Source organism: Homo sapiens, chromosome 17, assembly GCF_000001405.40.
Source record: "Homo sapiens chromosome 17, GRCh38.p14 Primary Assembly".
Classification (NCBI taxonomy): domain Eukaryota; kingdom Metazoa; phylum Chordata; class Mammalia; order Primates; family Hominidae; genus Homo; species Homo sapiens.
In genome coordinates, this window is record NC_000017.11 from 39385120 (window position 1) to 39401219 (window position 16100).

Here is a 16100-nt window from a genome sequence, read left to right on the forward strand (position 1 = left end):
ACTGAGGTGGGAGGACTGCTTGAGCCTAGGAGGTCAAGGCTGCAGTGAGCTATGATGGCGCCACCGCACTCCAGACTGGGCAACATTGTGAGACACTGTCTCTAGAAACACACACGCGCGTGCGTGCACACACACACACACAAGCTATGATGGTGCCACTGCACTCCAGACTGGGCAACACTGTGAGACCCTGTCTCTAGAAAACACACACACACACACACATAAATGGTTACCTCTGGGGAATGAGGTGGGGAGAAGAAAGACTTACTTTTTAACCCAAACTCACTTTAAGATAAATAGAAAATTGTATTTTAACTTCCCTTCCCAGCACAAATACTAAAGCAACAGTTTAACCTCCATTTCCAGTCTGAAATTAAACCACAGGCCTATTCCTATAACTGTCTTATTTTAGTAAAACAGAAGTGGGTGGAAGAAAGATATGTCACTGAAACACATTAAACTGAGAGACTTGAGGCTACTGTAAGAACAGCCAAGGAGGTTGATGCTCAAGTTTCCTTAACTAAAATAATGGTAACAATTCACAGAGACTGAGCAGTCCAACTCAGCTGGAGTGAATGAAAACTACAAGAAAGTTAACTGAACTAGTTCTCCATTAAATTTTGATTAGGCAGCCAGGCGAGGTGGCTCACGCCTATAATCCCAGCACTTTGGGAGGCCGAGGTGGGCAGATCATGAGCTCAAGAGATCGAGACCATCCTGGCAAACATGATGAAATCCTGTCTCTACTAAAAATACAAAAATTAATTGGGCATGGTGGCGTGTGCCTGTAGTCCCAGCTACTCAGGAGGCTGAGGCAGGAGAATCACTTGAACCCGGGAGGCAGAGGTTGCAGTCAGCCAAGATCGCGCCACTGTACTCCAGCCTGACAACAGAGATTCCGTCTCAAAAAAAAAAAAAAAAAAAAACACCAACTAATCAGTCCTGCTGGGCGCGGTGGCTCACACCTGTAATCTCAGCACTTTGGGAGGCCAAGGTGGGTGGATAAGAGGTCAGGACATCCAGACTACCATGGCTAACACAGTGAAACCCGGTGGTACGTGCCTGTATTCCCAGCCACTCCAGAGGCTGAGGCAGGAGAATCTCTTGAACCTGGGAGGCAGAGGTTGCAGTGAGCGGAGATCGCGCCACTGCACTCCAGCCTGGGTGACAGAGCAAGACTCTGTCTCAAAAATAAATAAATAAATAAATAAAAATTAATCAGTCTAGGGACGGGTGACGTGACTCACGCCTGTAATCTAAACACTTTGGGAGGCCAGGGCGGGGTGGATCACTTGTGGTCAGGAGTTCGAGACCAGCCTGAGCAACACAGTGAGTCTCTACAAAAAATACAAAAATTAGCTGGAAGTGGTAGCGTGCGCCTGTAATTCCAGCTACTCAGGAGGCTGAGGCACAAAAATCGCTTGAACCCGGGAGGCGGAGGTTGCAGTGAGCTGAGATCACGTCACTGTACTCCAGCCTGGGTGACTGAGTGAGACTCCGTCTCAAAAAATAATAATAATAAATTTTTTTTTGCTTAGACCTCTATCTTATTTCCATTTTTAAAGAGTACCATTAGCATGAAGCATAGTAAATACCTACAAGTACTATGTGACTGGTTAGGGACTTTCAACCTAAATGTGTATCCACTTCTAATTCCACAAAAGAACACTATTTCCAATAAAGATTATGTGGAGCACACATATTCTCCCCTACTTCCCAGACTGATATTGCATTGAATCTTGTGCTTTTTTGTTCTTATGTTAACTCACCTCTGAAGAAATACTGTTTCTAGTAATACTGACCAAACATCAGCCATCTGACAACAGCCAGATCATGTAAAGAAAAGAATAAAACTGTATGCTTGCTAGGTATGTAATACAGGTGTTCCCTGACTTACGATGGTTTAACTTAAGATTTTTTGACGTTACAATGGTGTACACGTAATATGCATCAGTGGAAACTGCAATGAGTACACGCACAACCATTCTGGTTTTCACTTTCAGTAGTCATTAAGTTACATGTGATATTTAACATTTTTATTATAAAACAGCTTTGTGTTAGATAATTTTACCCAACTGCAGACTAACGGATTCTGAGCATGCTTAAGGTAGGTGAGGCTAATCTATGATGTTTGGTGGGTTAGGTGTATTAACTGCACTTTTTTTTTTTTTTTTTTTGAGACAAAGTCCCACTCTTGTCCCCCAGGCTGGAGTGCAATGGCGCAATCTCGGCTTGCTGTAACCTCTGTCTCCCGGGTTCAAGCGATTCTCCTGCCTCAGCCTCCCGAGTAACTGGGATTACAGGCGCCTGCCACCATACCTGGCTAATTTTTGTATTTTAGTAGAGACGGGGTTTCACCATGTTCGCCAGGCTGGTCTCGAACTCCTGACCTCAGGTGATCTGGCCGTCTCGGCCTCCCAAAGTGCTGGGATTACAGGCGTGTGCCACAGCGCCCAATCTTTTTTTTTTTTTTTTTGAGACAAGGTCTCACTCTGTCTTCCAGGCTGGAGTGCAGAGGCATGATCTTGGCTCACTACAACCTCCACTTCCTGGGCTCAAGCAATCCTTCTACCTCACCCTCCCAAGTAGTTGGGACTACAGGTGTGCACCATCATGCCCAGCTAATTTTTAAATTTTTTGTAGAGATGAGGTCTCACTATATTGCTCAAGCTGGTCTTGAACTCCTGGGCTCAAGCGATCCTCCCACCTTGGTCTCGCAAAGTGCTGGGGTTACAGGCGTGAGTGACCGCACCAGGCCTTAACTACGTTTCCAACTTACGATACTTTCAATTTATCATAGGTTTATCAGGGCACAGTCCCATCTGTATTATAAAAACTAAAAAGGTAATGTGATGAGTTAATTACATATTTCATTTGAATATATATTTGACAGTGGTTAGAGGATCAGCTAGATCTTGACCACAACTTCAGAACGCCATTTATTGAGACCACTTATAATGCAAATTTCACATTATTGAAATAATAAGTAATATAAATGCTTGAGAAAATGGTATTATTTTTTCTTGGTATTCTTTCTATATTAAAAACTTATTTTGACCAGGCATGGTGGCTCACACGTGTAATCCCAGCACTTTGGGAGACCAAGGCAGGCAGATTGCTTAAGCTCAGGAGTTTGAGACCAGCCTGACCAACATGGCAAAATCTCATCTCTACTAAAAGTGCAAAAAAAATAGCTGGGCATGGTGGCACACGACTGTAATTCCAGCTACTCGGGAAGGTGAGGCACAAGAATCACCTGAGCCTGGCAGGTGGAGGTTGCAGTGAGCCAAGATCGCACTACTATGGCTCCAGCCTGGGCAACAGAACAAGAACCTGTCTCAAAAAAAAAAAGTTGCTTTTTTTTTTTTAATTTTTTTTTTTTGAGACGGCGTCTCGCTCTGTCGCCCAGGCTGGAGTGCAATGGCGTAATCTCAGCTCATTGCAACCTCCGCCTCTCGGGTTCAAGCAATTCTCCTGCCTCAGCCTCCCGAGTAGCTGGGACAACAGGCGCCCGCCACCATGCCCAGCTAATTTTTATACTTTTAATAGAGACGGGGTTTCACCATGTTGGCCAGGATGGTCTCGATCTCTTGACCTCGCGATCCACCCACCTTGGCCTCCCAAAGTGCTGGGATTACAGGTGTGAGCCACCGCGCCCGGCAAAAGCTGCATTTTTTGTTGTGCTTTAAAAAATTAGATCTGCCGGGTGCAGTGGCTCACGCCTGTAATCCCAGCACTTTGGGAGGCTGAGGTGGGTGGAGTACCTGAGGTCAGGAGTTCGAGACCAGCCTGACCAACATAATGAAACCCCCATCTCTACTAAAAATACAGAAAATTACCTGGGCATGGTGGCAGGCGCCTATAATCCCAGCTACTAGGGAGGCTGAGGCAGGAGAATCGCTTGAACCCGGGAGGCGGAGGTTGTAGTAAGCTGAGATCACGCCATTGCACTCCAGCCTGGGCAACAAGAGCAAAACTCCATCTCAAAAAAAAAAAAAAAAAAAAAAAAATTAGATCTACATTTGGGAAGCTTCTTTTATATAACCCCAGTCAACTGTGACTAAGAATACTGAATAATAATGAAGTTTCTTATCTCCCTGCAGTTACTATTCATGATAATGTACAAGGAAAGTTATAGTATTAAAGAAAAGTTTTAACCAGTCCTAGGAGAACGCCAAGATACATCAGGTTGCTTTTCTACAAGTGGGTGGCAGAAATAAGTTGTGATATGATTTTGTTTAATATGACCTTCTTTTCTTTACATGAAACACATGCAAACGATTTTCAAAAAGCTGATAAGGACGAATGTCGGGAAAGGGTATTGGCAATGCAGTGCTCGTTTTAAAAAATAAATGCAGGCCAAGTGCAGTGGGAAAGGGTATTGGCAATGCAGTGCTCGTTTTAAAAAATAAATGCAGGCCAAGTGCAGTGGCTCATGCCTGTAATCCCAGCACTCTGTGAGGCTGATGCAAGCACATCACAAGGTTAGGAGATCGAGACCATCCTGGCTAACACGGTGAAACCCTGTCTCTACTAAAAATACAAAAAATTAGCCAGGTGTGGTGGCAGGTGCCTGTAGTCCCAACTACTCAGGAGGCTGAGGCAGGAGGATGGCGTGAACCCAGGAGGCGGAACTTGCAGTGAGCCAAGATCGCACCACTGAACTCCAGCCTAGGTGACAGAGTGAGACTCTGTCTCTAAATAAACAAATAAATAAATAAATGCATCTTTAATGTCTGTGTTTAATCATGTCATAGCTTTACTTTCTACATATCAGAGAAGGAAGAATGACCCATTTCTGGGGGCGGAGGTAGGGTGCGGTTAAAAGCTTGCTGATCCAGTGTTTTAGATGTCAACTTACAATTTGGTGCCAGATTTTCATCTTAGGAGACACTTATTCATATTTGCCTAACAATGAGTACAATAATAGTTGCAGTATAAATTCTAGACTGAAACACTACTAAATTATTACTGTTGAACTAGATTAAAATTCATAGGCATTCCTGTTTAATAAACCCAATATAAAAAACTGATTAGGCTGGGTGCAGTGGCTCATACCTGTAATCCCAGCACTTTGGGAAGCCAAGGTCCAGGAGTTTGAGACCAGCCTGGGCAACATGGCGAAATCCCATCTCTACAAAAAAATACAAAAATTGGCCAGACGCGGTGGCTCACACCTGTAATCAATCCCAGCACTTTGAGAGGCCGAGGCAGGTGGATCACCTGGGGTCATGAGTTCAAGACTAGCCTGACCAACATGGTGAAACCCCGTTTCTACTAAAAATACAAAAATTAGCCAGGCGTGGTGGTTGGCACCTGTAATCCCAGCTACTAGGGAGGCTGAGGCAGGAGAATCACTTTAACCTGGGAGGCAGAGGTTGCAGTGAGCTGAGATGGCGCCACTGCACTCCAACCTGGGTGACAGAGCGCAAGACTCCATCTTAAAAAAAAAAAAAAAATAGCCAGATATGGTGGCACCCACCTGTAGTCCCAGCTACTGGGGAGACAGAGGTGGGAGGATGGCCTGGGCCCCAGAGGTCAAGGCTGCAGTGAGCCCTGATGTCACCACTGCATTCCAACCTGGGTGATAGATCAAGACCCTGTCTCAAACAAAAACTGAGTCAGATAAATAAAGAGGTCATTAGTAGGCCAAGTACAGTGGCTCACGCCTGTAATCCTAGCACTTTTGGAGGCCAAGGCAGGTGGATCACGAGGTAAGGAGTTCAAGACCAGCCTGGTCAAGATGGTAAAACCCTGTCTCTACTAAAAATACAAAAATTACCCGGGCATGGTGGCAGGCGCCTGTAATCCCAGCTACTTGGGAAGCTGAGGCAGAGAACTGCTTGAACCCAGGCAGAGGTTGCACTGAGCAGAGACAGCTCCACTGCACTCCAGCTTGTGCGACAGAGCAAGGCTCTATCTCAAAAAAAAAGATCATTAGTTGTATTCTTCCCTCTGTAAAAGGATTTTTCCATTAAATAGTAAGTTCCTCTAAAGCATTTAAAATTTATTTGCAGTTCGGTGCAGTGGCTCATTCCAGTAATCCTAGCACTTTGGGTGGCCAAGGTGGGAGGATTACTTGAGACTAGGAGTTGGAAACCAGCCTGGGCAACTAGTAAGACCACCTGTCTCAAAAAAAAAAAAAAAAAATTATTAAGAAAAAAAAAGAAACAAGCAGGAATCGAAAGCAGTATATAGGATAATATTACAAAGTCTAACTGGCTTTTCTTTAATAGCAGATGTAAGCAAAGAAATCTAAGAACACTGGCAATAAACTGACTATCTAATCTCTCTCCAGAGAATCACAGAATTTCCATGCTAGAAGGAAACAGAGTTGAGACAATGTAGGTCCAGAGACGTAACTTACCCAAGGTCCCACAGACACCAGTAATACTAGAACTTCACTAGAATATGTATAATACACACAAAAAAAAACACAAATTTATATAAATTATAAGAGTACATTTTGTTTCATAGTTCGGAACTGACTCCCTTCGTAAAATCCTGATGACATCACCTTAAAGCTGTCATTGTCTCCTTATCCAAATTAATTTCAAAATAATAACATCAAAAGATATAGATGATCTGGTTCCAAAAAACAAGATGAAAAAACATTCCAACAGAGAGCTCTGGAAAACCTTGTAGCTAAAATTTAAATCGTTTATTTGCTACAAACCACAAATCCCTTCTCCCTTTCTTTTTCTTTTCCGCAACTACCTCTAAAAAGGAAAAAAAAAAAAAGGGCTGGGTGTGGTGGCTCACGCCTGTAATCCTAGCACTTTGGGAGGCCAAGGTGGGTGGATCACAAGGCCAGGAGTTCGAGACCAGTCTGGCCAACACGGTGAAACCCTGTCTCTACTAAAAATAGGAAAAACTGGTCGGGTATGGTGGTGCAGTAATCCCAGCTATCGGGAGGCTGAGGCAGGAGAATCGCATGAACGCAGGAGGTGGAGGCTACAGTGAGTCGAGATCACGCCACTGCACTCTAGCCCAGGCGACAGTGCGAGACTGAGAAGAAAAAAGGAAAAGAAAGAAAACAGCCAGGCGCAGTGGCTCATGCCTATAATCCCAGCACTTTGGGAGGCCAAGGCAGGTGGATCACCTGAGATCAGGAGTTTGAGACCAGCCTGGCCAACATGGTGAAACCCCATATCTACTAAAAACACAAAAATTAGTTGGGCATCATGGCACGTGCCTGTAGTTCCAGCTACTCAGGAGGCTGAGGCACCAGAATCACCTGAACCTGGGAGGCGGAGGTTGCAGTGAGCGAAGATCACACCACCGAATCCCAGCCTGGGCAACAGAGTGAGATTGTCTCCAAAAAAAAAAAAAAAAAGAAAAGAAAACAAAAAACAAAAGTAGCTCTTTTTCAATAAGTGCAATTCAGTATACAGTGCGTTGGCTTTTCTTGGACCTATAAAAAAAGGGCGACATATACAAAAAATGCTCTACACTTAAGAACCTACCCTAATCTAAAACTTTTAGTTTTCTTTTTGCCTGTCCTTCCTGCCACATATAATTCCTCACTCTGCAGATAGTAAGCCAAACATGAAGTGCCCAGAATAGCTATACGTATGGTATCTTATTATCACAAATTAAAAGTAAAACTGAGGCTGGGCGAGGCGGCTCACCCCTGTAATCCCAGCACTTTGGGAGGCCAAGGCGGGTGGATCACTTGAGGCCAGAAGTTCGAGACCAGCCTGACCAACACGGTGAAATCCCATCTCTACAAAAAAATGTAAAATTTGCCGGGGGTAGTGGTGCATGCCTGTAATCCCAGCTACCTGAGAGGCTGAGGTTGAACCCAGGAGGCGGAGGAGCCGAGATCGTGTCATCGCACTCCATCCTGGACAACAAGAGTGAAACTCCATCTCAAAAAAAAAAAATAGGCCGGCACGGTGGCTCATGCCTATACTCTCAGCACTTTGGGAAGCCAAGGCGGGCGGATCACCTGAGGTCAAGAGTTTGAGACCAGCCTGGCCAAAATGGCAAAACCCTATCTCTACTAAAAATAAAAAAATTAGCCAGGTGTGGTGGCGGGCACCTGTAATCCCAGCTACTCAGGAGGCTGAGCCAGGAGAATCACTTGAACCCAGGAGGCAGAGGTTGCAGTGAGCTCAGATCGCGCCATTGCACTCCAGCCTGGGCAAGAAGAGCGAAACTGTCTCAGGAAAAAAAAATAATAAATAATAATAATAATTAAATAAATAAATAAACTGAGAACGCTTCCCCAGTTTTCACTTTGAAATGCATTCTCCACTTGATCAGAAAGTCATACCAACAAACACCACAGTGGTTACTACATTTGATTAAGTTTGGGCTGGGATTTTATATATTTATTGCCAACCTTCACTTCCATGTTGTTAGATAAAATTTCTGTCTTAGCACCATAGTAATGCCTAAGATCAACTTAATTACTCACTTACATGGAATTGGATTTCCTTTTTTGTTTTGACCAGAAATTCCTGGGATCAAGGACAAAAATGATATATAAATTCATTATATTTCCACCTGACTACAACTATTAGATAAGAGGCTTATTAAAAGAGTATCATAAAATCAGTTTGAAGATACATGATTAGGGTATAAGTAGGTTACTTACTTAGAGCTATAACTCAAATGCCTAATAAATAATTATTTAAACTTTGCTGAATACCCAATAAAATCATTTACTTTAAGAGAAAGTCTTCAAAAGCTAATGCAAATTTGGTTTGGATTTATCATATTAAATACGTATCTTTGTTTTTTATAAAAGTTATACAACTAAGCAAGATGAATTGAGCACAAATACTATTGCACAGTTCAATACCACCACCTATTGTTAGTTGCTGTCAAGTAAAAATGTTTTATATATCTAATGAATCCAACTACATTAAGACATAAAACTGTAAACCACAGTTGGATGCCTTGGCTCTTCTGAGCCAATATTTGGGTGGGAGGGGTCTGATCTAAGAATTCGCTTAGTCTCACTAAGTCTGGAAGATCAAGTAGGAAAACAGTGTAAAGACAACTGTGCACAAGTAGCTAAATTTGGTCACTTTAAGGGCTTTCTTTCTTCTCCCTCCCTCCTTTGGATTTTCCTGGTGTCACGGAATATTTTATTTTGAACATCTAAAAATACCCTTCTAAAAACCACAGTACTAGTTAGATTACTGAAACTTTTTTTTTTTTTTTTTTGAGACAGAGTCTCGCTCTCTCGCCCAGGCTGGAGTGCTGTGGCTCGGCTCACTGCAAGCTCCACCTCCCAGGTTCACGCCATTCTCCTGCCTCAGCCTCCCGAGTAGCTGGGACTACAGGCACCTGCCACCACGCCAGGCTAATTTTTTTTTTTGTATTTTTAGTAGAGATGGGGTTTCACCGTGTTAGCCAGGATGGTCTCGATCTCCTGACCTTGTGGTCTGCCCACCTCAGCCTCCCAAAGTGCTGAGATTACAGAATTTTTCTTTTCTTTTTTTTTTTTTTTAAGACGGAGTCTCATTCTGTCTCCCAGGCTGAAGTGCGCTGGCACGATCTCAGCTCACTGCAACCTTCGCCTCCCGGTTTCAAGCGATTCTCCCACCTCAGCCTTCTGAGTACCTGAAATTACACACACTACTACACGTCTAATTTTTGTATTTTTATTAGAGACAGGGTTTCACCATGTTGGCCAGGCTGGTCTCGAACTCCTGACCTCAAGTGATCCGCCCGTCTTGGCCTCCCAAAGTGCTGGGATTACAAGCCCGAGCCACTGTGCCTGGCCAGATACTGTACCCGGCCAGATACGGAAATTTTTAATTCAGTTTCTAGTATGTTACTAGTTGAGAAACAGTAATCTAAAGAGTAGGAATGAGATCCTTGGCCTGTAAGAAAGCACTTATAAATTTGCAAGAAAAGTGAGATCAAGATTTGAAAACAGACAACTTTGGGAATGAAAAGAGATGGATTTTTTTAAAATTAGGATTAAAAAGCATCATCAACACTAACAGTTAAAAACTAACAAATGACCTAAAACATAAGAAGATTTTAAAAGTGTGACCACTTCTAGGCCGGGCGTGGTGGCTCACACCTGTAATTCCAGCACTTTGGGAGGCCGAGGTGGGCAGATCACCTGAGGTCAGAAGTTCTAGACAAGCCTGGCCAACATGGCAAAACCCCATCTCTACTAAAAACACAAAATTAGCCAGGCATGGTGGCATGCCCCTGTAATCCCAGCTACTCGGGAGGATGAGGCAGGAGAATCGCTTGAACCTGGGAGGTGGAGACTTCAGTGAGCCAAGATCATGCCACTGCACTCCAGCCTGGGCAACAGAGTGAGACTCCGTCTCAAAAATAAATAAATAAAAGGTAAAAGGACCCATGATTATGCAATAAAGAAACATCAACAACACTATTCAAAAAGGACAGGTGGTCTGAATGGGTCCAAAAAGCCCAGGCCTTTGCTATGTATTTTCTATAAGTTAGATAATTGTTTTCAAACCAGTTGCTAGAGTGTTAAAAACAAAATTCCTTAGTTTCACCAGTACTCAATCCCATTGCAAAGGTTTTCAAAAGAAACAAATTACTGTCACCCACTAGAAAAATATATACCATTTTCACATGCACCAATTTGGAAATATGGTTATTTTCTATGCACAATGTTCTTTAAATTAGATGCTAAAAGTTTTAATGGATAAAAAGGTCTTTATTCAGTCACTTTGTCATTGTGAAAAGCAGGAGTATGAGTGAAATGATGTAGAGAGAAGCTCTGGCATTAGAAAGCAGTGGCCAAAGGCTGGATCCTGAGAGGCAACACTCATTACCAGGTTAGCAGAAGAGAGCGTTCCATGAAAGAGACTGCAACTCATCCCGGAGGCATGAGGAGAACCAGGAAAGGGCAGAACCACAGTCATTCAAAGCCAAGAGTTTTGTGGGGTTTTTTTTTTTTTTTAATTCATTTGTTTTAGTAGGTGTTTCATGTATTAAAAGACTTTTCGAAAAAAAAAAAAAAAGGTCTTTATTTCAGCCTTAACGGTGTATTCTGAGACTGAGCCTACAAACTTAAATATTATAGTGGCTGTTTCAGAAGAAATGGCCAGGGAAATATGATCCTCTGCTTTTATTCAAAAAGCACAGATGCATAGGATTCTAGAAAAAAGGTACCTTAGTGATTGATTCTATCTCCCTCGCTTTACAGAAGAGGGAAATCACCAAGCTAGAAAAGTAAAAAGAATGACCAGGCCGGGTGTCGTGGCTCACATCTGTAATCCCAGCACTTCGGGAGGCTGAGATGGGTGTATCACCTGAGGTCAGTAGTTCAAGACCAGTCTGGCCAATATGGCAAAACCCCATCTCTACTAAAAATACAAAAATTAGTTGTGCATGGTGGCGGGTGCCTGTAATCCCAGCTACTCAGGAGGCTGAGGCAGGAGAATCGCTTGAACCCAGGAGGCGGAGGTTGCAGTGAGCCAAGATCGCACCATTGCACTCTGACCTGGGCGACAAAAGCGAAACTCCGTCTCAAAAAAAAAAAAAAAGAAAGAAATGACCAAAGTTACAGTTAGTTGCTAGCAAAAAATTAAGATTAATATGCAGGTCTTGCCGGGCGTGGTGGCTCACACCTGTAATCCCAGCACTTTGGGAGGCTGAGGTGGGCGGATCGCGAGGTTAGGAGATTGAGACCATCCTGGCTAACACGGTGAAACCCCGTCTCTACTAAAAATACAAAAAAAATTAGCCGGGCATGGCAGCAGGCACCTGTAGTCCCAGCTACTCGGGAGGCTGCGGCAGGAGAATGGCGTGAACCTGGGAGGCGGAGTTTGCAGTGAGCTGACATCACGTCACTGCACTCCAGCCTGGGCGACAGAGCAAGACTCCGGCTCAAAAAAAAAAAAAAAAAAAATCCAGGTCTCTCCACTCACAATGTAGTATGCTCTTTTTGCCATGCTGCATTTTAAGATTTTTGTTATTCTGTTTTTTGTTTGTTTGAGACAGGTCCAGGTAATTTTTGTAGTAGAGACAGGGTTTCACCATGTTGGCCAGGCTGGTCTCGAACTCCCGAGCTCAGATGATCCACCCGCTTTGGCCTCCCAAAGTGCTGTGATTACAGGCGTGAGCCACCATGCCCAGCCAGATTTTTGTTACTTTGGATAAAATGAAGCAAGTAGGCAAACAAATATTACATGCTAGGGTTACAGGTTGCACATAATATTACAGATTTATACGAAAGGCAGTGACGTATAATGAAAAACAATAATGAACATGGATTCAAAATACCGAAATTGGAGCATATCACTTTCTAACTTATGGGTTCTTATCTCCAGGCACTGTTTAAACTGTAAAATGGTATCTGAATGTCAGTTAATGTTACCACTATGATTGTTTTTTAATGTTAGGCTTTTTAATAAACCCATTAAGACAGAATTTTTCTCCAACAGTACTACATCCTCATAAAGAAGCTACTAAGAGCATGACAAAGTGGAGAGGCTTAACTGAAGCAAATCTAAGCTTAGATTCAAGGGCTAGTCTAGATATTTAAACATTAATCTCACTAAGTGTTAAGATAATGTCAGTTATGGCACTTAAAATGAAGGCAGTCAGGTGTGGTAATCACACCTGTAATTCTAACACTTTGGGAGGCCGGCGAAAGGATTGCTCAAGCCCAGCAGTAGCAAATACAAAATAAAATAAAATGGATGAACTTTGGAAAAGCTCTTTTCCACAAATTTTATAGACTTTTTGCTAGTCATGCTAAAAAAAAAAGCAGGATGACAGTGGAGTCAAAAAAAAAAAATGCAGATTGGAATCCTGGTTCCCCCACTTACTAGGTGTGCAATTTGAACACCTTACTTAACCTCTCAGGCCTTCACTTTCCTCAAGTGTAAAACAGAATCGTAAAACTAGAGGTAACTAGCCGGGTGCGGTGGCTCACGCCTGTAATCCCAGCACTTTGGGAGGCCGGCGGGCGGGGGGGGGGGGGGGGTTGGATCACGAGGTCAGGAGCTCGAGACCAGCCTGGCCAACATGGTGAAACCCCGTCTCTACTAAAAATACAAAAATTAGCCGGGCATGGTGGCAGGCGCCTGTAATCCCAGCTACTCGGGAGGCTGAGGCAGTAGAATCGCTTAAAACCTGGGAAGTGGTTGCAGTGAGCCGAGATCGCACCATTGCACTCCAGCCTGGGGACAAGGGCAAGATTTCATCTCAAAGAAAAAAAGCAACAAAACAACAACAACAACAAAAAGCTAGAGGTAACTGAGGTAAAACATCTGGCTCAGTGTCTGTCATGCAGGAAGTATTCAATAACCATCGTTAAATTTGAAAGACAATTACTAAAATTTGCTGCAAAGTTTACCATAAATAACATAATTAAAATATCTGAATGGTAAGTTTTAATTGATTAACACAATTCAGCACATACTATGTTGACCTACAAGGGTTATTACTGTATACATTTAATGCCATGGTGACACAGCAAGAAAAACATGAATTTTCACATCTCTTGATCTCTTAAATAGAGATTCTTTATTCAGTAGTCATCTACTTTGGCTATTCCACAGGATGCTACACATCTGGCTAACAGGTACTCACCCTCGTTGTTTTTTGTTTTTTTTTTGGAGACGGAATCTCTCGCTCTGTCGCCCAGGCTGGAGTAAAATGGCACAATCTCGGCTCAATACAACCTCCGCCTCCTGGGTTCAAGTGATTCTCCTGCCTCAGCCTCCTGAGTAGCTGGAATTACAGGTGCCCACTACCACGCCCGGCTAATTTTTGTATTTTTAGTAGAGACCGGGTTTCACCAGGTTGGTCAGGCTGGTCTTGAACTCCTGACCTCGTGATCCACCCACCTCGGCCTCCCAAAGTGCTGGGATTACAGGCATGAGCCACCTCGCCCGGCCCCTTGGTTTTAAATTAAAAAAATTTTTTTTCTATAGCTCTAACCCAGAGTGGGAGATTTAAGGTGTGTGGCCTCCAGTTACAACATATAAAAGCATACCTACAAAAGGATTTCAATGAATCAACTATCTGAAAATCATAGAGCTTCAGTTATCTTCTCCAAGAAAAATAAACCTTACGTAGCCACAATTTGAAATTAGCTATTATGTGATATAAAGATTTCATGCATCCACAAAAATTCTCAATGAGATCTGCTATCTGCTTACAGTTGTAAAATTATCAGTTCTTTAAGAAGCAGACTGTAATCTTGAGGATTTAAAATATCATTTGATGTAAATGTTTAGATCTGCTTTATTTACGTATCTTTTATTGAAAGTAAATATTTAAAATATTTTCAACAAATAAGCAATAAATTTATTTACTACTTCCTAAGAAGCCAATTACTAATTGTCTCAGTCCTTGTAAATTAGGTCAATAAAGAGGTAAATGGTTTTAAGAAGTACTCAATGAACTTCATTAACACATATCATTTCTAGCCATTCTCATCTGTATTCCGGCATGGAACACTTCACATCATATTAAGTGAATAGCTTTTAGTTTATAAACAAACACTTATTTAATCATGAAACCGTCCAAGAAGGACTCCCCACCTTATTCTTTTTTTTACCTTCTCAGATCATATTTAGAAAGATTTCGTTGCCAGCTACATCAGCTACAAGTTAAAAAGAAACCTCTTAATACAGCAACAAATTTCCTTATTACTTTATTATAGTATGCCACCCCTACAGAGATTGTAAATTAAAGTATAAGATAATTATAAAAATACAAAATAGCAATGTAATTTTACACCACATACAAGAGAATACTTTCCAAAAATTATTCAATCTAAAATGAACAGCAAACTGATAAAGAGCTAATTCCACAGGCAAAAGACTGTCCCCGACTCAAATCTTCAGTATCTGGAACTGCCTTTCAAGATTCCTGTTAACTGCTGAACGTCTATTCAGCAATTTTAGTGACATTCTGGGTTTTTACGGTACTACTGAATACGAAACCATCATAAATTAACTTTATTGGGGCTCTGTACATTAGGGCCATCCAATGTCCTATTAAACACCAAATAATATATTCCATAACATTTTCTTCTAGTGATCAAGTTAAATACTAAAACTCTAAGAAGGCCAATTCTTTGATTTTCTCCACTCCTGAAGTGCAACAGTAACACTGAAGCTCTGAACTTAAACTGCACCCAAAACACTTCCTATCTTGATCTTCGTGGATCAATTCAAATTATTTCCCAGTTCGCATAATAAGAAATCAAAGAATAGATTAAACTGACAACCCTTAAAAGTTTTCACACCCTGAACCTAGTTGTCGAGTTTCTTAAACTTTTGTCTCGCCGTCTTACAATTTCATCTCTCAAATGGAGATGAAGAAAAACACCGAGTGAGATTGTCCACTGAGCTGTGAGTGATCCCAGGTCAGCCTGGTTCTCTGCCAGAAAAGACCAGGTGACATTTACTCTTCCTGTAGAAGTTTCTTTCTCTTGACCCTCAAGGAACCTTCCAGTATATTGTTATACTACTGTAATTCATCAGTAGTTACAATATTTCACTTCCCAAAGGAATCTCTTCCTTGCAAGATGACTACTCTCTAAAGACGCTTTCAAGACCGTCCACTCCTCAATTCCAGGACAGTAAACCTCCCTCGCTAGAGGAGAAAAAGTTCCTGAAAGACAGACCGGAATGGATTTGCTGAACTTTCGTCCCAATCTCAAAGCATGTAGACATCCAAGGGTTCCCAAGGAACAATGAGCTACAGAAGTACAGACTAAACGGGAAAGCAGAGGAAGTATCAGAACAATACCCAAACCAAACACAGCACCGAAAACCCGTGGTAGCCTCTATCATCCCAAACTACCGTCCCCACTTCCCTAGTTTCACCAAGGTCTCAAACTCGGAGAAATGGTACCCATCCCCTAATTTCCTCCCTCAACAGACAACAAACGCGTCATGAAGGTAGCAGCGAGAAAAGCAGCAGGCTCTGGTGGACCGGAGCCGTGATGGCTGGGTGGAAGGAGGCAAGCCAAGGGTTGTGTAAAGAATGGAAAGCTGAGCGATCCTGGAGGAGGGTGGAATTAGGGCGCCCGAGCTAATCCCCCGCGGGGGCCCGCTGGTGGGAAGAGACGGGGGGCGAACCGGCGAGGGGACTGGGGGCACCGGGCTGCGCTGGGCTTCTGGGTCGCAAGA

General features: G+C 42.8%; 1 protein-coding gene across 5 annotated transcripts in view, besides 1 other annotated feature; it reads right to left on the reverse strand.

The window, feature by feature from the left end:
• Positions 1 to 16100, reverse strand: part of FBXL20 (F-box and leucine rich repeat protein 20) — a 149894-nt gene that overhangs the window by 132457 nt on the left and 1337 nt on the right. The gene's annotated exons all lie outside the window — the stretch shown is intronic.
• Positions 15760 to 16052: a silencer, noted in NCBI's record as "fragment chr17:37557132-37557424 (GRCh37/hg19 assembly coordinates)". NCBI's record gives its function as "represses an EF-1alpha promoter that drives an FKBP-Casp9 reporter gene in an ReSE screen in HepG2 liver carcinoma cells {active_cell/tissue: HepG2}" and the evidence as "EXISTENCE:reporter gene assay evidence [ECO:0000049][PMID:32094911]".